Below are 24,666 nucleotides of genomic sequence, written 5' to 3' on the forward strand. Positions count from 1 at the left end.
TAGTGTGTTTGTATATTAGAAATAGATATTTTATTTGGATTGAATCATCATTGTTTACTAAAATATGGTCTGGAAACAATTTCCTGGACAGACAGTATTAAATGGCATAATGACAAAAGATAGCTATGCTTAAACTCTCTAGTTAAGCACTTCAAATAGGAAAATTATCATCATTTTATACATAGGAATGCTGAGATGTTTTATATATACTTAAATCCAGATGCTATATATTTAAATATTAAGTTTTAGTTCAGTAGAAAATATTTAGTAGGAAAATGTTTAGCTGAGAAAGTAGATTATATGTAACGGAAGACATTACAGAAAACTACATTTGCATCCTTATTCAAACCCAGTTATAATGCAGTTATAACCCAGTTATAATGCAGATATTGGATGAGTTGGGAAAGAGCGCTAATTAGCTTTTTCTTCAGCTTTTGAGAGACCTAAGACTGTGGCGTAGTTAATTGGATTGACTGAGGCCATGTGGTCTGGTGTGCATGAGGTTGGGATTTGAGTATGAGGACCTAAGTTCCAGTTGCAACTTTATTTCTTAGAGGTTTTGTCACCTTGGGCAAGGTTAATTCTTTGGGACTGCCTTAATTTCTATGCATATAAACATAAAGAGTAATACTATTTATTTCAATGGCTTGTTTTAAGTATAAAACAAATTAATGTAAATGAGACATGCTTTGAAGGTAGAAAAACAGATGTTAAATTATTAATAAAGTAGAAAGTATATTTCTAATATTTAAGGAGAACTGTATAAGAAGAATCATGGCTGAGTAACATTTTTGAATTATGCAATAAATTCTTTTCTGGCATGTTACAAATGCAGCCGCTATGGAAGAATATGTAAAATGTTTCACACATCAGATGTCTTTATCATGCTCAGTGCACATAAATGCAGTCATGTGATATATGTTGTAAGACTTTTATAAAGGCTTGTGAATTGTGAATGAGAAATCTTACTCCAGTTGTGCCCTGTAGTTATGAATTAGTGTACAGCTAGGTTCTTATACATACTAACTGTGCTTTCTAACCTGCAAAACAATTTGATGCTGGATGGTGACTAATTGTAAAATAGGCTTTGCACATGACTTGGTAAACCCAAAGTAAGTTTTGGACATGCCCAAATTTTTGATATTTGAAATGACAAGCTTAAAAGATTATTGCTAAAAGTATCTTAAATACAATTTGGGGTCAGTACTCTTAGGAAGATTTGAAGTACTTTTTAAAAAGGATTGTATAATACAAAATCTCCCTAGAAACTTTTTTTTTGAGGTTTCATAGGCACTAAAAGATATAATTTTTACTTTCAATTAAAAACAAATTCTAGCATTTTACAATTTTCTCACAGTTCAAATTATCAATATATATGTAATTTAACTATCACAAATTATTGAACTATAAATGTTACAAATGGCTTTTATTAAACTCTAAATTAAACAAATCTAATATAAAGCCTAAGTATGTTTAATAATAACATAATTTCAAGTAATTTCAGCCATATTTCTGAGCTGTATCTGAAAAAGTATATTAACTTATCACTTTTTCTAATGAGATTGGTAGGCTAAATTTTAGGAGCACTGAGACTTATTTGGATAGATGTTTGGTTTTAAATATGGGTACAGAAATCACTTGGTGTGACAAGCTGTCTGAAAAATGCAAATAAGAACGACTGTGTTTGAGGAATGAGTGAGAGAAATTAACATATGTCGACTACTTAGAAAAGCTGTGTTCATCTAAGTGTTGTAGACACAGAATTTTAAAATATGTTGTGTTTAAATTGCTGTGGGAACTAACCTGTAATTGAAAGGAAGTTCAGGGAGTGAGTATGGTTTAATGAATGTGAGTGGGGCCCTGTAGATACACCTTTGCCAGAATGTGCCCCAGTGTGAAAAGTAAACTGACCTATGAAAATCTAAGCCAGGCACAGTGGCTCACACCTGTAATCCCAGCATTTGAGAGGCCAAGGTGGAAGGATTGCTTGAGGCCCAGAGTGTGAAAATCTATTTGCCATGTCATGTCTTATGACTGAGAGGGCTTCTGGAGACAGTATCTCCAGTTTGTTTGTTTGAATGACTGTAGCTATTTCAAGATATCTATGTTTTCTCATAGAATGAAGACAAACACAGAGATGGTGTGTCTAAGAAACTTCAAAAGGTGTAGACCTCCTGACTGAAGCATATTGGATTTATTTAATTTTTTTCACTGTAGTAAGTATAAATATTTAAAACACTTTTTTTGGTCAATGTTGACTTGTATTTTTATTGAATAAATATTCACTCTGTCAAATACCCTTATCATTGTTAGAGCTATTGTTGTTTTCATTCTTCTACAATTTCAGTTGCATATCTTAAATGAATTTAATTCTCAGGACCTTTGAGAGGACAAATGAAACATGAATTTAGAGCTGAAAGAACCCTTTGAAATTATCTGCTTCACTCTTTTTATCCATTACAAGAAATTCCTTTGCAACTCTCCTGATGGATGGTCATTTTATTTATCAAGATTCTGCTCAGGACATAGAGCTGAACTGTTTCACAGAGCAGCTAGTTCGATGACTTTCCACCACAGATTGAATCAAAATGTGATTTTCTAAAGCTTCCATCTACCTGGTTCTACCTTGGGAACAAATCCACTATTCTTTCACCTGTGAGGTTGTTGCGCAAAAATGTAAAGATAAATTCTCGGGCTCACCTAGTCATCTATTATTTCAGCTGAATATCATCGATTGCCCGTGTTCCTCTGTAGGAAACGGTTTAGAAACAACAGCTCCTGGTTGGTTTTTTGCCCATTTTATCTTTAACCTGTAACTGAGCATTGGGTTTCAGTATTGTGATCTCACGAGGCAGGTACAGAAGGACTGCAGCTCCTTTATCTGGGTTTACCTATTAATATGGCCAGATGTTATAATCAGTATTTCAGCGTAACAGCTGTCTCATGACTAGCTGAAAGTATGCATACATGTCAACTAAAATCCTAAACTGTTTTTCACATGTTCTTTCTTTCATCCAGCAGTGTTTTCTACCATCCCTCACACCCCTGGCCACATCATATTTATAGTATTTTGAGGTCTAAGCCCAGGACTTTCTCTTTGCTTCATGTATTCCTCTCATTTTAGTTTCTGTCTTACCTCGACACACAATTATGTAAGGCAGAGAGGTGAGGCAGAATGAGAAGAGTTGAGAGTTAGAAATAGATCCACTAAACTGGAGTGAAGGAGAGAAGCCCTGAAGAGCTATATAATCCACCTGTAGGTCCTAGGAGGAAGGTGAATCCATATAATATTATGTGATACCCAGAGAGGACACAAGCAGAAAGTAGTGCTCCAGTCCAGCAGTTAAGCTCAGAAATTGTAAAATGCCTTAACAGGTACAAGAGCATGAAGCTGTAGGGTTCAGGGTCAGATGGTCAGGAATATGCTGAGGATGAGACTTATTAACAGGGAGCAGGGACTCTGTAATGGGACTCTAAGGTTCAAGGCAGGATACCAGACCCCAGAAAGAGGGCAAATGAGAGTAAAAAAGTCTTCCTGGCCAGGCACAGTGGCTCAGGCCTATAATCTCAGCTCTTTGAGAGGCCAAGGTGGGCAGATCATGAGGTCAGGAGTTCGAGACCAGCCTGGCCAACATGGTGAAACCCCATCTCCTGTCTCTACTAAAAAGACACAAAAATTAGCTGGGCGTGATGCCATGTGCCTGTAGTCCCAGCTGCTCGGGAGGCTGAGGCGGGAGGATTGTTTGGACCCAGGAGGTGGAGGTTTCAGTGAGCTGAGATCACGCCACTAGACTCCGTCTCAAAAAAAAAAAAAAAAAAAAAAAAGGCTTCCTTGGGGATGCTACTAATACTAGAGTGTCTAGAGAGTAACTCTGGCCCAGAATAAATGATAAGACTTCAGACTCAAGAAAATCCAAGAGAAACCCTTGAAAATAGATTAGAGCTGGACTACCAGCAAGGGGGCACCATGCTACCATTATTATTTTTCTTCTTTTTCTTATCAGATATTTTCTAAGACCCACATATTTCCTTTTACTTTACTCTGTGCCATCTTATAGATCATCTGGATTTTACTGATTAGCAATTTTTGAAACAATTGATGTATGTAAGACTCAACATAGAAATTCTCAGGAATGTTGTCTGAATACTTTTCAGTATGAAAATACAAGATAATCTTGTTTTCCTGAAGGCAAAAGTAATTTAATAATGGAATATGCCTCCATCGTTTATCCTTTTAGTACTTTGCCATCACAACATTAAACATGAGAGGGAGTCCCCATGATAGAATATTCTAGCAGAGCTTTTCTTTCTTATTCTTTTTTAAGCCATAACTTTTAAATACTTCCCAACTTTTAAATACTCTAAGTTTTTTCATACTCATGTACTTAAATTACAAAGCGAAAGCTTGTGTGGAAAGGAGATAATGCATTCAGTGACAGGTTGTTCTGGGCATAGAATTGTAGACCCCACTAAGCCTAAGGGGTAATTTCACAAAGCAGAGCTTGCTTAAAAGAGGCTCCTTGTGGTGACTAAAACAACTCTTGGGCTGTAAGTGATGCTTCAGACATGGGACAAGGTGTGGAAAGGAGCTTACTCAGACATTTTGGAAGGTAAAATGTGACCACTGGAAATTAGGTGGCTGGCTGTGGTGACTCATAGCTGTAATTCCAGCACTTTCAGAGGCCAAGCAGGGAGGATCACTTGAGGCCAAGAGTCTGAGGCCTGTGAGACCCTGTCTCAAAAAAAAAAGGAAGAAAAAAAGAAAGAAAGAAAGAAAAAAATATTAGTAGCATAGGAACAAGTTTTTCAAATGTCAGTTGAAGAAAAATTGGCTCCTGGTTTTTAGTAGCCTAGCCTGGAGTTGAGATACAAGAGGTAACGAGATAATTACCTCAAGGGCTACCCCTAAATTTCTTTCTAGTCAGTATCACTAAATGGTCCCCCATCTAAGAGACTATGGTTCAGAGTTGGATGGCCTATAGTTTCAAATGAAACCAGAAGACTTATGTGCCCCTTAATCAGCTCTTCCTTTTAGGTTTTACCCCAGAGCTAAATCCTACTTGGGAAGGAGGGCATGTGTGTATGAATATTAGAGTAAAATGCTTATTTGAGTACTTGCTTCAGTAGTGTTTCTTTTATTTCCCTCTTCCAGTTTCTGTCCTCCTACAAGGGAAAGTCATGATTACACTAACTGAGCTAAAATGCTTAGCAGATGCCCAGTCATCTTATCACATCTTAAAACCATGGTGGGACGTCTTCTGGTATTACATCACACTGATCATGCTGCTGGTGGCCGTGCTGGCCGGAGCTCTCCAGCTGACGCAGAGCAGGGTTCTGTGCTGTCTTCCATGCAAAGTGGAATTTGACAATCACTGTGCCGTGCCTTGGGACATCCTGAAAGCCAGCATGAACACATCCTCTAATCCTGGGACACCGCTTCCGCTCCCCCTCCGAATTCAGAATGACCTCCACCGACAGCAGTACTCCTATATTGATGCCGTCTGTTACGAGAAACAGCTCCATTGGTTTGCAAAGTTTTTCCCCTATCTGGTGCTCTTGCACACGCTCATCTTTGCAGCCTGCAGCAACTTTTGGCTTCACTACCCCAGTACCAGTTCCAGGCTCGAGCATTTTGTGGCCATCCTTCACAAGTGCTTCGATTCTCCATGGACCACCCGCGCCCTTTCAGAAACAGTGGCTGAGCAGTCAGTGAGGCCTCTGAAACTCTCCAAGTCCAAGATTTTGCTTTCGTCCTCAGGGTGTTCAGCTGACATAGATTCCGGCAAACAGTCATTGCCCTACCCACAGCCAGGTTTGGAGTCAGCTGGCATAGAAAGCCCAACTTCCAGTGTCCTGGACAAGAAGGAGGGTGAACAGGCCAAAGCCATCTTTGAAAAAGTGAAAAGATTCCGCATGCATGTGGAGCAGAAGGACATCATTTATAGAGTATATCTGAAACAGATAATAGTCAAAGTCATTTTGTTTGTGCTCATCATAACTTATGTTCCATATTTTTTAACCCACATCACTCTTGAAATCGACTGTTCAGTTGATGTGCAGGCTTTTACAGGATATAAGCGCTACCAGTGTGTCTATTCCTTGGCAGAAATCTTTAAGGTCCTGGCTTCATTTTATGTCATTTTGGTTATACTTTATGGTCTGACCTCTTCCTACAGCCTGTGGTGGATGCTGAGGAGTTCCCTGAAGCAATATTCCTTTGAGGCGTTAAGAGAAAAAAGCAACTACAGTGACATCCCTGATGTCAAGAATGACTTTGCCTTCATCCTTCATCTGGCTGATCAGTATGATCCTCTTTATTCCAAACGCTTCTCCATATTCCTATCAGAGGTCAGTGAGAACAAACTGAAACAGATCAACCTCAATAATGAATGGACAGTTGAGAAACTGAAAAGTAAGCTTGTGAAAAATGCCCAGGACAAGATAGAACTGCATCTTTTTATGCTCAACGGTCTTCCAGACAATGTCTTTGAGTTAACTGAAATGGAAGTGCTAAGCCTGGAGCTTATCCCAGAGGTGAAGCTGCCCTCTGCAGTCTCACAGCTGGTCAACCTCAAGGAGCTTCGTGTGTACCATTCATCTCTGGTCGTAGACCATCCTGCACTGGCCTTTCTAGAGGAGAATTTAAAAATCCTCCGCCTGAAATTTACTGAAATGGGAAAAATCCCACGCTGGGTATTTCACCTCAAGAATCTCAAGGAACTTTATCTTTCGGGCTGTGTTCTCCCTGAACAGTTGAGTACTATGCAGTTGGAGGGCTTTCAGGACTTAAAAAATCTAAGGACCCTGTACTTGAAGAGCAGCCTCTCCCGGATCCCACAAGTTGTTACAGACCTCCTGCCTTCATTGCAGAAACTGTCCCTTGATAATGAGGGAAGCAAACTGGTTGTGTTGAACAACTTGAAAAAGATGGTCAATCTGAAAAGCCTAGAACTGATCAGCTGTGACCTGGAACGCATCCCACATTCCATTTTCAGCCTGAATAATTTGCATGAGTTAGACCTAAGGGAAAATAACCTTAAAACTGTGGAAGAGATCATTAGCTTTCAGCATCTTCAGAATCTTTCCTGCTTAAAGTTGTGGCACAATAACATTGCTTATATTCCTGCACAGATTGGGGCATTATCTAACCTAGAGCAGCTCTCTTTGGACCATAATAATATTGAGAATCTGCCCTTGCAGCTTTTCCTATGCACTAAACTACATTATTTGGATCTAAGCTATAACCACTTGACCTTCATTCCAGAAGAAATCCAGTATCTGAGTAATTTGCAGTACTTTGCTGTGACCAACAACAATGTAAGTAAATCCATTCTTTCTTTTATTCAGTATCTGCCGTACTTATAGTGCATTACATAGGGAAAGAAAACACACTTCAAATCATACTGTGTGTTCTCAAGCCAAGCCCAATCCGATCTTGCATAAATTACCAAAACACTGAGCATCCATTTTTAACCTAAATTACAAGTCATCGTGGAGATTTTATGAAAAAACATAAAAGCATTTGGCACAGTTCCTGGCACATAATAGTTGCTCAGCAAATGTTTTTCTCTTTGTTTTTTTCCCAGTTTTCTACATAAACATCACAAAGTATTTTAAACTATTTAATTCATTATGGTAGAGCTTACTTTTTGTTTTATAAAGGTTTTAGGTATTTAGGGAGTTTGGCAAAACTTTTCAGCTTTCCAAATCTGTCATAATAAAATAACTTCTTGTTCTAAAATGCTGGGATTATGAATTATTCATAAATCCTTTTTGTGATGTGGTGAAAAAGATTTGAAATCTGCATGCATGTCTAGAAAGATGATTCAAAATGAAAGGCCTGCCTCTATAATGCAACACTACAGCTTCTTAGAAGCTTTTTCCAGGATCCATGCTTTAGAATGAACCAAATTTGCAATAGTAAAACCAAATTAAAGAAAACTTAACTTTACCAAACCATGAAAAAACAAAATAAATGAGTAGTTTCCTAGGTTAAGATATGGAGGAGGAGGAAAAAGGAAAAATTCACTGTAGTCTAAAGGCAAGAGAGTGAGGCTAATGTCCATTTGGGAAGAAAGAGGGAAAACCTGGTCAGAAATCAAATCTACCAAGGGATGAAACTGACATTCCTCTACTTGAAAATGGGTACAGCTATTCCACCACACTTCAAAATATATTATCCAAAAATTAGCTGCGCGTGGTGGCACGGACCTGAAGTCCCAGCTACTCAGGAGCCTGAGGCAGGAGAATCGCTTGAACCCGGGAGGTGGAGTTGCAGTGAGCCGAGATTCCACCACTCAAGCACTCAAGCCTGGTAACAGAGCGAGACTCTGTCTCAAAAAAAAAAGAAAGAAAGAAAGAAAGAAAATGTATTATCTTTTAGACTTTTTGTAGTTCATATGTCATGGTAAATATAGCTATGAGCATGGTGTTGGCTAATAAACATATTAATCATACATTATTTTTGAAAAACATGGGTGTTAGATAAATACCAGAAAATTGGGGGATGAGAGCAAAATTCATGCTGATTTTTAGAACTCTCAGACTTTATTCATATGTAAAAGGAGAGAGTCCATTGTTAGATAAATGAGACATCTTCAGATCTTAAAGGTTTATGAGATTTTAAAACTACATTAGGATTGACCTAGACTAACAGTGTGCATCAGAATTACCCAAAAGGCTTGCTGAAACACAGATGGCTGAGCCCCGCTCCCAGGGTTTCCGATTCAGTAGGCCAGACGTAGGACCCAAGAGTTTGCATTTCTAAGAAGTCCCCAGGTGGAGCTGATGATGCTGGCCTAGTGACTGCACTCTGAAAAATCACAAGTCTAGAAGTGTATCAGTGCCATTTAATTATGCAGGTGATTAATATTAATATTTTGATCACATTTTTTCCATTGTTAAATTTATAATAAAAATATCAATAATTACTTTTAAAGGCATTGGTTCCACTAAGCAGTTATACACAGTTAAATCACTTTCAAAAATGGATTTTTGAAAGTCGGAGCTTATTCAATTGTTAGCTGGCCATGCATTATTTAAATGTATGAGCAGGTGAATGTTTCCACCAAGTTAATGTAATGAAGAAACCTTGAGACCATTAGTACTTTTGACACCAAGTTTATGGAATCCTGGACCATATCTGAAATAATAAGTGTGAATATCAGGCACATGCTTTCTTGAATAAGAAAGAATACTTTGTAGCACAGGAAAAGTCTTACGCTGAAAATACTTTATAACCAAAATAGAATGGTATCTTTTTGAGTGGGTTGTCCCAGAAATCTGAGAAAAAGTAGTTGCTGATCATCTTTGGAGCCAAAATGATGAACATGACATCTTTGAATTGGTGAACTTAGGGTCAAAGAAGCACTGTTCAGAGACTATGTAACAACAATATAAATAAACTAAAACTCATCAGAGGACAGCCACCAGGAAGATGACAACTCTGATGGAATACTTTAGCCTCATGATGGGAACTATAGGTGGCACGGGAGAATTGTCTACAATATTGGTCTTCAGATATTTGAAAAATTTACATGGAGAACAAAACTTGCTGGGAATAGCTACAGTGTTAGAACTTAGGGCAAGCGGAGAAAACTAGGACCATCAGGGGAAGATTTCTCATCTTTCCCATATAGCATTCAAAGATTGAATGAGCACTTGAGGAGGGAAAAGTCATTTTCTTATTAATAAAGCTCTCCAGACAGGGACTGCCAGATACTCAGTAGGAAGGCTGTTAAAGGGCATCAGGAATTCATGTTTCATGTGGGGATTTAACTAATTTTAAGATTATTTACAACCTTCAGAGTCTCATGATTCTGAGTTAGATCAAAATATTGAATCACGAAGTCAGGAGTTTGAGACCAGCCTGGCCAATATGGTGAAACCCCATCTCTACTAATAATAAAAAAATTAGCCGGGCATGGTGGCACGCGCCTGTAGTCCCAGCTACTTAGGAAGCTGAGGCAGAAGAATTGCTTGAACCCGGGAGACAGAGGTGCAGTGAGCCAAGATCTTGCCACTGCACTCTAGCCTGAGCGACAGAGCAAGACTCCATCTCAAAAAAGGAAAATAAGAAAATACCACATTGGCTGCATACATAGTTAGACATGCATATACAAAGAAATTCAAGCCAATTAATCCATGTGGAACGGCAGTTAATAAAGATTCCTATAAGAGGCATTTTAAAAGTCTGATCTCAAGACTTGGGCAGCGTATCAGGTTTATAGATGGAGTCAACAAATACTACCTCTTAAGCAGAAAAGACATTAGTTGAAAGGATATTAGGTATCTCATATTACCACTGAAAAGATTGCAAAACCAAGCTTGGAAAACAATCAGGCACAAAGTAAGTCAGGCAGCAGTGAGGACTGTAGCCAGAATCATAGCGGAAAAGCACAATGGTGAGGATACACTGACGAGGACCTTACCAGCTCAGAGCACTGCTTCTGTTCTTGAAAACTTGATGTTGCTGCTGTTGTGACCCTAGGCCTCCCACAGAATAGATTCTTCATGGCTTCCACTTCTTTGTAATGTTAGCCCCGGTTCAAAGTCCGAGTCTGAGCAACTGATTGGCATAGCTAATGAATGCCCACATTGTGGCTATAGGAGAGCTGAGAACACAAGAATCTGGTGTCAGTAGTTTCTCTAGTAGAAAGTGAGCTCTACTACCCACCAAGACTCATAAGGTAGGGAATTCCCTCGACATGGGAACGTGCTGGGCAGTCCCTGGGTGGCGGATATTCACTGAGCAGGCACTTCAGGGTGTCTTCCATAGGACGGTAATAGGTGTCACCACAAAAAACATTAAATGTTTCTTTTGATCATATTTTTGCTGCAGGATTCTTCAGAGCCTTTAACATATGAATATGCATTGTGCTTCTCCAAGGAGAGATGGTATGCAATATTCATCAAATGTGTTTGAGCAAGACACCTTTTTTTATAGAGTGACTCTTGTGTTCTGTGAAGCATACCCTAAGAACACTGGATTAGGGAAGCGTTAAAAAATAGAGGTCATCCACAGAGGACTGAAAAAAACATAACCAAATATAATAAGAGATGAGACCATTTAGTAAGGTGGGTCAGAATGGAGAGTGCCTGGAAGTCTGCCAGTCAAATTCATGTTTGATTCATTGGATAGTGACTAGGGTGAGACTTGAGCTTGAAAGTGCTAGTTAGCCTGAACTGGTACCTTCAAAGGAGGCTCTGATTGTAGCATATAAAAGGCTTAGGAGAGGACAGCCAAGAAACAAAACCCCATGGAAAGGTTGAATCAGTTATGATTTAGAGGTAGGAGTATAGATTTAAAACAAGAGACAAAGACTCTCATACCTGAAAGGAACACTGAGTCCGCAGACTGCAGCCTGGGGGTCAAGTCTACCCACTGCCTGTTTTTATACAGCCTAGGCTAGGAAAGGATTTTACATTTTTAGATGGTTGGGGGAAGAAGATCAAAAGAATGTTTTGTGACCCGTAAAAATTATATGAAACTCAAATTTCAATTTCTACAAATAGATTCCATCATTTTTATTAGTGGGCCTGTATTACAACAAAATTATATTCAATTGTTATATTTTGAATTTCATTACTTAAAAATATATGGAATATTTTTTCTATTATATAAGGACCTACATAATATTTTCACTTTTGCCTCTTGGCCCAGAAAGCCTAAAATACTTATTCTTCTGGTCCTTTGGAGAAAAACTTTACCAGCCCCTACTCTAGTCCACTGCCCTTATTTTACTGAGGCTCAGAGCAATTCACCTGAGGTCTGAAGTTTCCTGGCAAGGGGGCTAGGATGGAACCCAAACATTCTGATTTCTACTCTACTATTCTTCTACTGTGTCTCCTATGCATCAATCCAAGTGATTCCACATGGGGTACAGTGGTATATGTGGGTGGACATGGAAGGTGGGAGAAATGGAGGCAAGATCCATCCCTATCACAGTGCCAAAGAGTAATTGGATTATGGTGGCATTGATTGTAATGGAGAGAAGCACAAGGCATGGGAAAGGATTGAGCTAGGTTTGCTGAAATCTTAGACCAGTCCAATTTACACCTAGGTCTTCTTACTTCCACATTTGTGCTTTTTTTTTTTTTTCTTATATTAGTTTGAAGACTTCTAGCCAGAAGGTGAATAATGTAGAAATTCCTTCTGAAGATCATCTATGTGACACTGGGTTTTGTTATTTTTGGCATCACTACTTAGAAACAGAAATATTCAGCTGTGTTTCTTGAAATGATTGGACTTTAGGGTTTGGTAAGCATTTCCTGAGATGGCATGTGTCAGTGGCCAGAAAAAAAAAAAAAAAAGGAAATCTGGTATTGAGAAGGATTCTAAAGTAAGATCTCAGCCTCTGGGAAAAAGCCAGGGGTATTTAATTAACAATGTCAGCCATAGATGTAAAAGAAAACCATCCTGTTCTCGGGGACTTCAATTCATTTTGCTGAAGACATTTGGTTGTCAGAGAATTCTAGGATGTAGAGAGATAATATAGCCATTAGTTTTTGTTGTTGTCATCTATTTTGTAGTTTATCATATAGCTTATGTATGTGTGTATTATATGTTGTAGTTTATTCCATAAAACTATTTTATTGTTGAAGTATGTCATCCCCATAGTAGTCTGTAAGCTTTCCCATTGGTTTTTTTAGAAGAAATCAGTGATCCACTAAGGTAATTTTTGGCTCTCTGGCTCATGTGTCATACAGTCTAAGAAAGGGCATGCTAAATAAATTAGTTTTAAATAATTGTTTTCTAACATTTTTTATAGAATTTGTTGACCCAGGCAAAATTGGAGTTCTTGTAAGCTTCAAGGCAAACTATTTTTAAAGCTGTAAGTAGATTTTTCAGGATAAAATTGCTGAATTGAAGGAAAGTCTTGAGTCTTTAACAAAACTCCCCAGGCTCCTTTAGAAAAATTGAATGAGAGTAGGTGAGGTAAGATCCTGTGCCTTAGCTGGGCAGAGAGCTGGAGAGAAAGCCCCAGAGATGGACTCTCGCACATAGCCAGCGCAGCCCTTGACTCACTTTCACAGCAGCAATGCTAAGGGGCTGGCCCTGAGGCCCACTCCCACTACCTTGGGAAATCCCTCTCTTCTAGTGGAGCCTAAGAAGTTCACTAAAATCACAGATGTAGAGATTTGGAAGGAGACTGGTGGGAATGTGGTAGTGCTGATAGCCAGACAAGAGAGTGAGGGCAGTGGCTTCAGGGTAATCACCCAGTAGGAAATCAGTCCAGTTAAACGAGGTACTTGCTGGGAATCTGAAGCTGACTGAAGAAGGGAAATACGGAATGCCTAATGCAGCTCAGGTTAGGGCACTTTTCTTCATACCACTCATTACAGACAATTGTGTAATCGTTTCATGTTTCTCTCTTCCGTGAGACTTGTGCTTCTCAACTGGGAATGATTTTGCCTCCCAAGAGACATTTGTCTGGAAACATTTTTGGTTGTCACAACTGGGAAGGGGAGTGGCACTGGTAACTGGTGGGTAGAGGCTGAGGATGCTGCTAAACATCCTACACTGCACAGGACAGCCCCACAGCAAGAATTTTTCCACCCACAATGTCAACAGTGCTGAGGCTGAGATGTCCATGGTGACCTGCATTAGGCTAAAGTTTTCAAAGGCAGTCTTTCTAACTCAGTACTTGATCCCAGCAGCTAGCTGGGAGCCTGGCACATTAGAAGGCACTCAGCACGTGCTCACTGAATATAAATGAGCCAAGCCTAATTTCTTTTTTAGCCAGTTTGCCTGAGTCATTTCATAGGCACCAACAAGCACTCTTAATAATGCACACTGCAAAGGACTGATTTTTTCCTTCACTTGGACATCACTGATCCTACTTCTGAGCTGCAGGTATCTCTGTGCAGAAGGGGTTGCCTTAGAAAGAGGTTGCATTTCTTCTCATCTCTCTGCCTCATCTCCCAATGTAAGTCTGCATATGTAGGGTTTGCATCTGCTCTTGGGAAGGAAATGAAAGTAAAGGGTAGATATTTTTCCCTTTGTTTATATCTAATATTTTGGTGTACAATGATGATCTATATGGAATGTTGTTCTTAGCAGTGACAATCATTAGATTTATTTTTAAGGATATACAGCACTGAACGTGTGTTAGAGGGAGGGGTGATGTAGGAGAATGGAGTTTACAACATCATTAACATTTTTAATGGAATTTGGTCATTTTTTAGTTTATATAAAAGCTATTTATCCTTTTGAGGAGAGACAGTTCTGGATGGCCCTAGAAACTTGTCTCCCAGCCGGTCTGCATTAGCCCGTCAGAGGATATAGGCCAAGTCCCTGAGTGCCCTTTTTATCCCTGTTTCTAACAAAGCCAGTTTTGGAACCAAGGAACCTACATTATTTCATAGTTTTTGTAGGTGGCCCCTGTCCCCAGCCAATATGTAGAGTATTATGGGGGGTAGGGAGCGGTGGTATGTGCAGTCTATCTATGCTGAGGCCAGACTTATCCCTCAGTGAAGTGATGAGTTGAAGGGATTGTGTATGTGCTCAACTTCTTCTCTGGAGGTCTTTCCTCAATAAACCCTATTTCTTCTATGTACTGTGGCGCCCTTAGAAATTGACATGCAACCTATCTACCATATAGGGCAGCAGTCAACGGGAGCAGCTTTAGGAGTTGACCTAATTTGCATAATATTTATTATATTTAAAAGTATCTGTGTTATAAATTATTTAGTTGAAACCATGCCAGAGGGAAGGAACAAGAGTAAATATTCAGGTGTATGTGTATGTAGAGGGGAATGAAATGTGCATGTATATATAATCATATTTTTTTGCTCTGCTTCTGTAGGCTTTTTTAAAAAAGAGAATAAGGTTTTCAGTCTGCTGTCAGATTCTTAGGATGTTTTTAAGGGTATTATTCATTACATTACACAGTAAACTTTTTATGAAGACTCTTGAGGGTAATTTATTTCTGATCAAGGACTCAAGAGTAATTATGATTTTTCTTACTGGTTTGTTTTTATCTTAACGACAATGTGTGTATAACTACATTTTATTTAAGAATTGCTTGTTAGAGTGTTTAAAACCAAATTCGTTGCCCACCCATATACAGCAAGGATGTAGGTGTCCAGGGTAGCCACAGTCCTCACTCCTCATTGTACTCCTGTCTTCATTTTCCCTCTATCTTTTCATCTACTTCAAATTTATCATCATTGTAGTCTGCATCACTTATAAACCTCCAGAAATGTTTTGTTTTTTTTTTTTTGGAAAAAAGGTAAATGTCTTATCATAAGCCACCAAAAACCTATTTTACCAGCTTCTTTTTTCTTCCCTTTCCAGATTGAGATGCTACCAGATGGGCTGTTTCAGTGCAAAAAGCTGCAGTGTTTACTTTTGGGGAAAAATAGCTTGATGAATTTGTCCCCTCATGTGGGTGAGCTGTCAAACCTTACTCATCTGGAGCTCATTGGTAATTACCTGGAAACACTTCCTCCTGAACTAGAAGGATGTCAGTCCCTAAAACGGAACTGTCTGATTGTTGAGGAGAACTTGCTCAATACTCTTCCTCTCCCTGTAACAGAACGTTTACAGACGTGCTTAGACAAATGTTGACTTAAAGAAAAGAGACCCGTGTTTCAAAATCATTTTTAAAAGTATGCTCGGCCGGGCGTGGTGGCTCATGCCTATAATCCCAGCACTTTGGGAGGCCAAGATGGGCGGATTGCTTGAGGTCAGGAGTTCGAGACCAGTCTGGCCAACCTGGTGAAACCCCATCTCTGCTAAAACTACAAAAAAATTAGCCAGGCGTGGTGGCGTGCGCCTGTAATCCCAGCTACTTGGGAGGCTGACGCAGGGGAATTGCTTGAACCAGGGAGGTGGAGGTTGCAGTGAGCCGAGATTGTGCCACTGTACACCAGCCTGGGTGACAGAGCAAGACTCTTATCTCAAAAAAAAAAAAAAAATGCTCCAGGGCTTTAAATGAGAAGTAAAATTTTCTAAGTTAATAAAGATGAAGAATGGGTGACTATTATGATGAACCATAACTAAATGTCTTATTAAAGCAACTGAGTGTCTAGCCCTAAATTAACCAGGTAAAAACTGTTAACACTAACCTGAAGTTTTGTGAATAACTGTTCTTTAACTTATTGAGATGTTGCAAGAAATGCACATCCAGGGTGGACTGGGAGCTATGAAATGACTAAATTCCTCCTTGCAGTGTTTACCTTCAAGATTGTATAGGTATTCTCTCCTCTTCTTCCCCCAGTCCCCATTACTTATTTGCACACTTGTTTTAACTGACTTCCTGTTTTGATATTTATCACCAAGACCATAAACTCATCAATATGAATTTTCTTGATGTATACTCACGACTGTCTTTGATTTATGTTCCTAAATTTTTTTAGATAGGGTATGTTGTGCTTGGCAGAATTCTTTTTTGGCTTAATTTTTACTTCCTTTCCCAGCTTGCTTGAGTCTTCCTTAACCTGGTTTTCTCTTAACACCAATGATGAACCCTGAGAAAATGCCTGCATTTGGCCTTTGCCTAGAACAGGAGCTGAGTATTTAAGATGTATTATCCTCGGGGCATCCTGAAAATTAATGTATTCCCTAAAATTTCTTCTTGTCTATCATCAAGGCCTTTTTTTATTTGTTAAGAATTTTTATATTAAATGTAAAACATATAAATATTTTCTATTGTATAATCTTGGATTCAACATCTGTGAGGATCATTTTTGTAAGATACATAGAATTTGTGCATTTCTTTATGAACTTACTGTTAGTGTTCTTGGTTTCGGCTGTTTATGACTCATGTTTATGTACATTCTGCTCCAAAATGTTTTTGTACTCTGCAACTAATTACTTTTGGATAACAAAAGCCTTGTGTTTAATGCCCTAAAGTATTTGGGGGTTTCCTTGTGAGAGGGTGGCCGAATCATCTACCTCTCTCTTCCATAGTTGCTGTGCAATCGTACGGGTAAAATTCTTAATTACTTACAAAAACTGTGATAGAGGGGAGAGGTACAGATTTGGTTTTTAAATTGATTTTAAAATACTTTATAGAAATTTAGTAAGAGTTAAAGCAAAAGACTTTTTTTCCCTCCATCTATGTAATCTCTAGCTATGATTATAATGTAAAACAGCCTCTATTCAGTGTCTAAAATGAGTTCTCAAAACCCACAAAGAAATAGATCCATTTAACTGAAATTCATCTCATGCCTTTATCTAACTCTTCTGGAAAATACATTTTGCTCCTTTTTATAAAGAGCTTTGTGCTTGGCCTTTTATTATGCATATTTTTAATGAATAAAATCAACTGACTCATTTTTGGGAAATGTACATCTTTAATATGTTTTTCCCTAAGGGTCTAGGCATTATGATGCCACCTCTTCATTTTGGATATAACTATGAAGAAATCTATTAACTGCACCTACACAAAACTGGAAAACACTATAGGTAAACAGTACTGTGTATATGGAATTGTGGTGCGTGGTATGTGTTTTCTCTTGCTTTGTTCCAGAAAGATGAAAGTGAGTCTTTAAAGCATAGCAAATAGAGCTTCCCCTCACCTGCCACACACTCCTGCACTAAAGTTCAAAGAAAAGAATTATTCAAATCAAATGAAATTTGAATAATATTAGCTATCAGGAATATAGGACACCAAACACACTGCCTCACACATTATTGTTTATTCTGAACGGAAAGGAACAGTGTAAAAATAAACTACTTACCAAAACTTGCCTTTAGTCAGAACATTCAGCTCTCAGGGAAGCAGGTATAACTGATGAAACTTCTAGGACTTCAGAAAACAGATTCTAATTATATCCATGTTTTTCGTTGTTATTTTCATTTTTTAAAGTGTGAGTTGATGTTTATTTTAGTGTTTCACAATAGAATTATCATGTATACTGATTCCAGTGTGGCATGTGATTAAGTTTTGGACATGAATATGCCAAAAGTGCTTAAATGTTTTTGGCCACATAACTAGCTAGAATTTCAAAACAAAATTCAGATTTGCTACCATTCACCTGACGAACTTCTCCATGGCTCGTCACTGGTTTGGTTCAACTGCAGAAGTCATTGGCTAAATTTTCCTTATCACCTACGTAAATTTCTAGAAGAATTTACTAGCAGGATTAATAATGAATATTATAAACTGCTTTCCACACACTAGGGTATAATTATTGGTGCAATCTATGTTGTTCTTGATGCCATGGTTTTACATCTTTTAATTTAAACCTTATACACCAGTGTTTAGGTCGCTTTTGAGACAAGGTAGCCCTGATGCAAGGAAAAATGAGGCTACTACTTCACATAAAAAATAGGGTGTTAATACCACCTTTACTGTACTGTTGGAGCAGATCTTTATTTTACAAGTGTTCATATTCACATAAGAGAATTTTAAATGAAGAAAATTAAGTTTGTTAAATTATAATTATGAGACTTTCGTTGGCATTTGATTTCAAGAATACATATGCATTTTCCAAAAAATAAATGTGGAGGTTATTCAGAACAAAATTCATAGCTTACGGTAGTAATGGCATGGATTAATTTTATTTGCATGCACACACAGACACACATACTTCATATATGCAAATTATAGCATTAGTTTTTGATATATCTAGTGGTTTTTTTTTCAAAATTGCAGGAGGTTGTAGATTAAATTAAGTATGATAGCACGTTTTTTAATTCATTAATCATGAAGTGCTCTGTTCCCTAAGTTATGACATTTAGAAGAAATCACATGCTCAACCTTAATCTGAGAACCTAAGTGTTTTTGAGCATTCCAGTAAAGGAGTAGTGTTCTTTTCCTAACTTACATCAGGGTACATCTGTGTGGCACACAGATACTATCTTTTCATTCTTCACTCCCAGTCTTAATTTCTTTCCCCTGTATGTCACTGTATTTTATGTCACTTCACATTGTGTTAAACAGGGTAAATAGAGATCCTCAGTATCTCAGTGCTGTGGCATAGCTCCAATAGGTGTGCTGTGGTGCACTGCAGTGATGTATTTGCATAACATTGTTTGATAGTGAAAAATTTTTTTTCGGTTCAAGTGTTTTGTGATTAAAATTTTATGTTTAATTAAAATATTGCATAATATTGATGGGTTCAAAAACCATTAAAATAATCAAACAATTATTCTGTGCCCTTAACATTATTTTCTTGTGTTTTCAATAAAATTTTCTTTTCATCTTTCCATCTTCACATTCTCTTAGCATCATCCTATGCACATAAGGTATGTTGTTTTCCTTCTCCACTCACCTACCGCACTAAATTTGATCAGCAATTGTACAGTAACAGAATATATTTGTGCCAGAAGATTTGCAATGATATTTGAGCATGTATTTATTTAGGAGGAAGCCAGTGCCTGTAATTATGTCTCATTGAGTAGTTTTACTTTGCCCATCCTGCAGTATTTAGAGCTGATCTGTACCCAAAGCAGGACAATGTAACTGTAGATCTGCTTTGTTTTCAGTAACTGTACATTGCATCAGAATCTGTTTATTTCTATCTGGAAACAGACAGAATGGTGGGGGAGGGAAGGAGTTATTTTGCATCCTAGTTTGTATTATGAAGTCATCATATATATATTTGAAATAGTATAAGCTAATTACTGTTGCAGAATGCCCTCGATATAATTATTTCTTTTCAGCTGGATGTGAAAAGCTGAAGCAGTGAAAACCTGCAGTCTTATTTCACTGGTTTCCTTCTGTTTCTTGTCCATCACTTCTGTATCCACAGGGAGCTATCTACTACATACCTTTGGTAACAGGCTACATTCTCTTCAGATTTTTTATATGAATAATTTCATCAGCACTAAAGCATTAACATAGAATAATGAGCCAAAGTACTGAGTCGAGATGGCTTTCAGTTGAGTTTAATTTCATATTTAACTTTTGCATTTAACTTGTATAATACACTACTGCTGAGAAAAACAATTATGAATGCCTTCTGCATGTTGTACATTATCTCTAACAGAGATGGTGCAATTTTAAGAATACAAAGGGGTATAGAGTTAGAATGGATGTGTTCGTGCATATATATGTTGTATTTAAATATTAATGTTTACAAGAAGATTTTTTTTAAATTCTTCAAATACTTCACTTAGTGAAATAATGGGCCAATCTGGAATAGAGACATTTTATTTGGTTAGTGCAAGAGTGAAAGCTAGCATTTGTTAACCTTCACATATTTATCTGTGTACAATTGTTTTTGCTTCTGGTAATGAATTATTAGAAAATGGAAGATTTTGTTCAATGTTTTTGGCCCTCAGGTTTACTGTGTAAATCTGCATTTTTGGTGGTAAATCCCTTTGCCACAGATTCAGTAGCTTTTGGTAAACTTCACTGTTTTTAAAGTACCTTTTGTGTAAAATAAAGATCCAATTTTTATAACAAATGGCAAATAAAAACAGTAAATGCTGGAAGAAGTTGACTGTACTAATTTTAACCAAGTTCCAAAAGTGATTCCCTCTCTCTTCTCATGCTTCCTTGTACTGTCGTACTGTTATTCACCAAATAATAGATTTCAGATTTACATGTGAATCTTACAACAATGGTATGAGTTTTCAAAATATGCTACCATGGCCACAAAATAACAAGCACCTGAAAAGAGCTGCGTGGATCCTAGAATACATGGGTTGCGGGGGGTAGTAGATCTCTCATGAGTGGGCCCGTCTTTCCTTGGAATTCATCAGGGACAGATGTTCATAGAACGCCTCATCTCTCTCCTTTCTTCTTGGTGCCTGTTTCTCCATTTCCTGTTTAACACTGAATTGTGAACCAGGTAAGCAAAAGCTAAAGAACTGCAAGACAGGCAATTCTGAGATGGTTTAGTCAAAGGTGAAAAAATTGAATTACTGGATAAAATAAGTACATGATAGTTTGAACTTTTCGATAGAAAACAGCCTCTCTCGGTCTCTTACATGCACACACACACACAGTTTCAGGACCACATTAGAAGGCTGATAGCCAGAATTTTGCTGGAATATATATAGACTGAATCAGATTATGAAGGAAAGTAACTTAGTTGTTCCCTGGCCATATTCTCTGAAAATGCAGTAAGTCATTCAAGAAAGGCTTCCCCCATCTCTAAGTGGTTCAGGAATGGGAAGTCTATTGAAATGAAGTGAGTGCCTGCCTCCAGGCATTAGCAGCCTTTCAGGGACTGCTAGGTGCTTTGAGATGCTGAAGTTATATGCTAACAGTCTGCCCAGCAGTGACATGGCCCCCTAAACACAGCAATAACTGTGGCTTCATGTACTTCAGCATTCACTTCCACATTTCAAAATGGCTTTTTGAAAAAGTGGTAAAGGGCTCAACTGGAAGGGAGAGACTCCGGTGCTGTTGAGGGCAAGGTTCCATTCTCTGGAGCGGCAACTTTTGTTATGGTTTGTTTCCTTCTCTGTTCCCACCTGGTGTTTTGTCACCCTCATTCCTGAGGTCTAGGGAAAAGCAGTTTATCCAAAATGCACAAAGCCAGACCTCAAACTCAAGTCCCATATTTACATAAGATCCTACATCGACATGCTAAAGAAGGATCAGAAAAGGCCACTTTAATATGCGTAGTCTTTTTAAAATGCAAATCTCTTTCTTTATCCCATGTTATCTCATCTTCCCCTAGACTCGAGTTATGTCTTTCTGCCTCCTAAATAGCAGAGATTCTATAGAGCTGCCTGTTAGCTCTTGAGATTTTCAAATTATTTCCTTATGATAAATACCTTCCATTTTGGAGCCCTTTGTATTCCTATAGGGCTCAATCCACATCATTTTTTTTACTCTCTACCTCCCTCTGCTGCTGAGAGGAGAAAATGTCAAATAGAAGCATGCCACCAACACCCATCTGTAGGTTAATATAACTCCAGATTCTTTCTTTTGGAAAAAAAGATTCATGCCTATCTTACTTACCTGCAAAGCCATCACAGATTCTCTCTGCTTTCCTTTAACACCAAACCTTCTGGTCAGCCCTATTTCCTCACTGAGTATTCACTTTTCAACCCACTTCTGTCCAGCTCTCCACATGTCCCAGTTTCTGCCCCTCCTGGTAATTTCTCTTACACAGATTACCAATCGCTTATTTGCCAAGAGCAGTGACTTCTCAGTCCTAGCCTCTGTAGGTAGAGTAGAAATGCTTTTTTAGGTTTATCAACATTTGTAAATCTTGGCCAACCTTCTTCCTCATGGAGCGTGGGCCTCACAATTGCAGGTGTAAAAGATTTACAAAGTTATGAATCAGCACTGACCCTGCAATTACTGTTTTGGAGCCTAGCCTCTCCTTCCTGATATGGTCCTTAAACCACAGCATCCAGTTTCTTGCTCCTATACTCAGTTTCTCCTTGCCTTCCCTTGCCTTTATCAAATGCAGCCCCCACGGTAAGATCTTGAGGATTCATTGGCCCTCACTTAATATCAGTAACTGTACCTCAAATGAGATGCACATAGCCCCATGCAGTTCCTGGCACCAAGATCAGACCATACCGTGTGGGCACCCTGGGCAGGTAAGTGTGTGGTACCCCTTTAAAAGAACATGCTTAGAATGTTTATTCAACATGTTTTTGGTAGAAATGGGAAAACTGGCGTTCTGTTGGAAAAAACAATCATGAACATTTTAACTATCTTTGTATTCCTTTTTCCAAAACTAAAACTCTATCTAGCAAGAATGAGAAAGAGTTTAAAGATAATTTAGCAGAAAGACAAGTGGGCCTAGGGGCTGTAGGGAATATGAGGTTTTACAGCTCACGGCATTTCTGTCGAATATCCCCAATCGACAATCAGTCTCCCGGGCCTTGTGAGCAGGCCTGTCAGCTGCTAAGTCTCCCTTCTTGTTCCCTTTCAAAGCATCCTACTCTCTTTGTCCCGCACCCTTATCCCTCCCAGATCTCACTCCCTCCAACCACTTTTGTGGGCTCTTGCTCTCTTTCGCTTGCTCTAGGATTGTGCTGCTCGGCATTGCCCCAACCACCATACTCCAAGCTTACGTATCCTCACCTATTACTAACTCCCATCTTCAAGAATATGAAATACCTATTATTCCAAGGATGATGCTTTAGCTTGTTCTCACCAAAATACATGTCTCCCAGTTATCAAGATTCTCTGTTTCTAGAAGGTAGTTTCTTGCCACAGTTTCAAATTTAAAATAAGAGACTTATTCCTTATGTTGAATGGGAAAAGGGCCAAGTTTCATTTGTTAGGCTGCTAACATAAGGAATTACATGTGGAAACCTGAGTTAACTGGCACCAAATTTCCAATTACTCCAATGACATGTAGTTACTCCTTGTAAATTAATACCCCAGGCACCTGTTTAAGTGCACTTACCCTTAGTTCAGCACAGCCTAGCATGTGAGTACCTTGGATATGGCCATGACTATTTTCTTCTCAACAGGAATGAACGAGTTACCATTGTGGTGTGAAAAACTGTTTCTCCCTTGAAATGCTTCTCAGTCATTAAGGAGTAGGTGGGAAGGTTTCCCTTCTGGAGTTTCTGAAACTGCACCACTAGTGGGGGACTAAACACCACCTGTGTGAAGGGAGTTTCCTTCTAGTCTTTCCCTGAGCTTGGGTTGGATTCACACCCTTGTCTGTAGTAATGCATAGAGAAACTTCTCAGATCCTCAAGGGGAGAAAAGAACAGTTCTCTTTTTCAAGTGGATCAAACCACACTTTTCATAATAGATTGAGCCTTTCTCTGGCAGTTGTTCTGTGAAAAGGGAAAGCCTAAAGAAGTAGCCACGTGAAGAATTGATGCAACACGCATTAAGTGGCCTGAGGAAAATCTGCTTGGCTTGTGATATCAGAGCAGCACAATGCATGTCGGGAACCTCACTGGTGGCTTCAAATTGAGAAAAGAGAATAATCTAACTATTTAGTTCCTGATCCTTGAGTTTGGAGAGCATCACTGTAGGAAGAAGTATTGAGGTGGTATATGACAATAACTTTATTTTGCACCTCCTGTGTGCCAGGCAGTCTGCTAGGTTTTCCATGTGTACTCTCTCAATCCAGCCAACAACCCTATTTGGTATGTTGTTCTGATTTTACAGGTGAGAAAGAAGACTTTCAAATTATTACCATCCCAAGGTCTCATGACTGCTGAGAACAGGAACCATATTCAACCTACAGGTCTGCATAGCCTGTTTCTACAGAGATTAGCTGAACATTAAACATCAACTTTATCCTCTCATAACCACCTTGGAGTTTTGAAAACTCTGGTTTTCAGAGCTCAGTGGTCTCGTCCAGTCTGCTTTGATCCTAGTGCTTCCTCCTGCTCTATAGCTATCCTAGTTTCTATCTCCTCAGCCATAGTCACTTCCTGTATGTTTTATTTTCCTCCTCATCCTCTAATGTAATTCTGGATTCAGAGATCTTCCCAATGAGAAGAAACCATGGAGAATTTGCTGAGAAGGAAGGGTTAAGTGGCTTGTTGGAGATCACAGCCCCAGTGATTTAGGAAGATGGTACCATGATCTGTGCATGCCCCCGTTGAGTGCTCTTTTCACCCTACTGTGCTGGCTCTGAAGAGCACAGATAATCCGCATTTCACCAAAGACTAGTGGAAGAGCCAGATCAGCACCCATGTCTCCCACCTAACTCTAGAATCTGTGTATTCTCTAATAAGCTGCATTCATTTTAGTTGTAATCTGCATCTTAATGATAATCCCTTCCCATGCACAGTGCATCACTGTACCAGAGAACTTTAGGCCATTTTTC

The 24,666-nt window shown here is 38.6% G+C and overlaps 2 protein-coding genes across 5 annotated transcripts in view, besides 2 other annotated features; both read left to right on the forward strand.

Moving 5' to 3' along the window:
• Positions 1 to 20,389, forward strand: part of LRRC8B (leucine rich repeat containing 8 VRAC subunit B) — a 73,033-nt gene extending 52,644 nt beyond the window's left edge. For all 4 annotated transcript variants that reach the window (NM_015350.4, NM_001134476.2, NM_001369819.2 and 1 more), the window contains 3 exons: positions 2,119 to 2,216; positions 5,153 to 7,317; positions 15,299 to 20,389. In NM_015350.4, the coding sequence (NP_056165.1) occupies positions 5,179 to 7,317; positions 15,299 to 15,571 (2,412 nt within the window). In that variant the 5' untranslated portion in view covers positions 2,119 to 2,216; positions 5,153 to 5,178 and the 3' untranslated portion in view covers positions 15,572 to 20,389. The remainder of the gene's footprint in view (positions 1 to 2,118; positions 2,217 to 5,152; positions 7,318 to 15,298) is intronic.
• LOC128092251 (uncharacterized) lies at positions 2,120 to 2,182 on the forward strand. The gene has a single exon (NM_001414942.1). It carries the CDS (start codon positions 2,120 to 2,122, stop codon positions 2,180 to 2,182), a length of 63 nt encoding a protein of 20 aa, NP_001401871.1.
• Positions 20,731 to 21,247: an enhancer, noted in NCBI's record as "NANOG-H3K27ac hESC enhancer chr1:90063762-90064278 (GRCh37/hg19 assembly coordinates)". NCBI's record gives its function as "activates a minimal SCP1, AML or CMV promoter by ChIP-STARR-seq in primed H9 embryonic stem cells {active_cell/tissue: H9 hESC(primed)}" and the evidence as "EXISTENCE:reporter gene assay evidence [ECO:0000049][PMID:30033119]".
• Positions 23,295 to 23,544: an enhancer, noted in NCBI's record as "active region_1296". NCBI's record gives its function as "activates an Ori minimal core promoter by ATAC-STARR-seq in GM12878 lymphoblastoid cells {active_cell/tissue: GM12878}" and the evidence as "EXISTENCE:reporter gene assay evidence [ECO:0000049][PMID:35858748]".

This window comes from Homo sapiens, chromosome 1 (genome assembly GCF_000001405.40).
Source record: "Homo sapiens chromosome 1, GRCh38.p14 Primary Assembly".
Classification (NCBI taxonomy): Eukaryota; Metazoa; Chordata; class Mammalia; order Primates; family Hominidae; genus Homo; species Homo sapiens.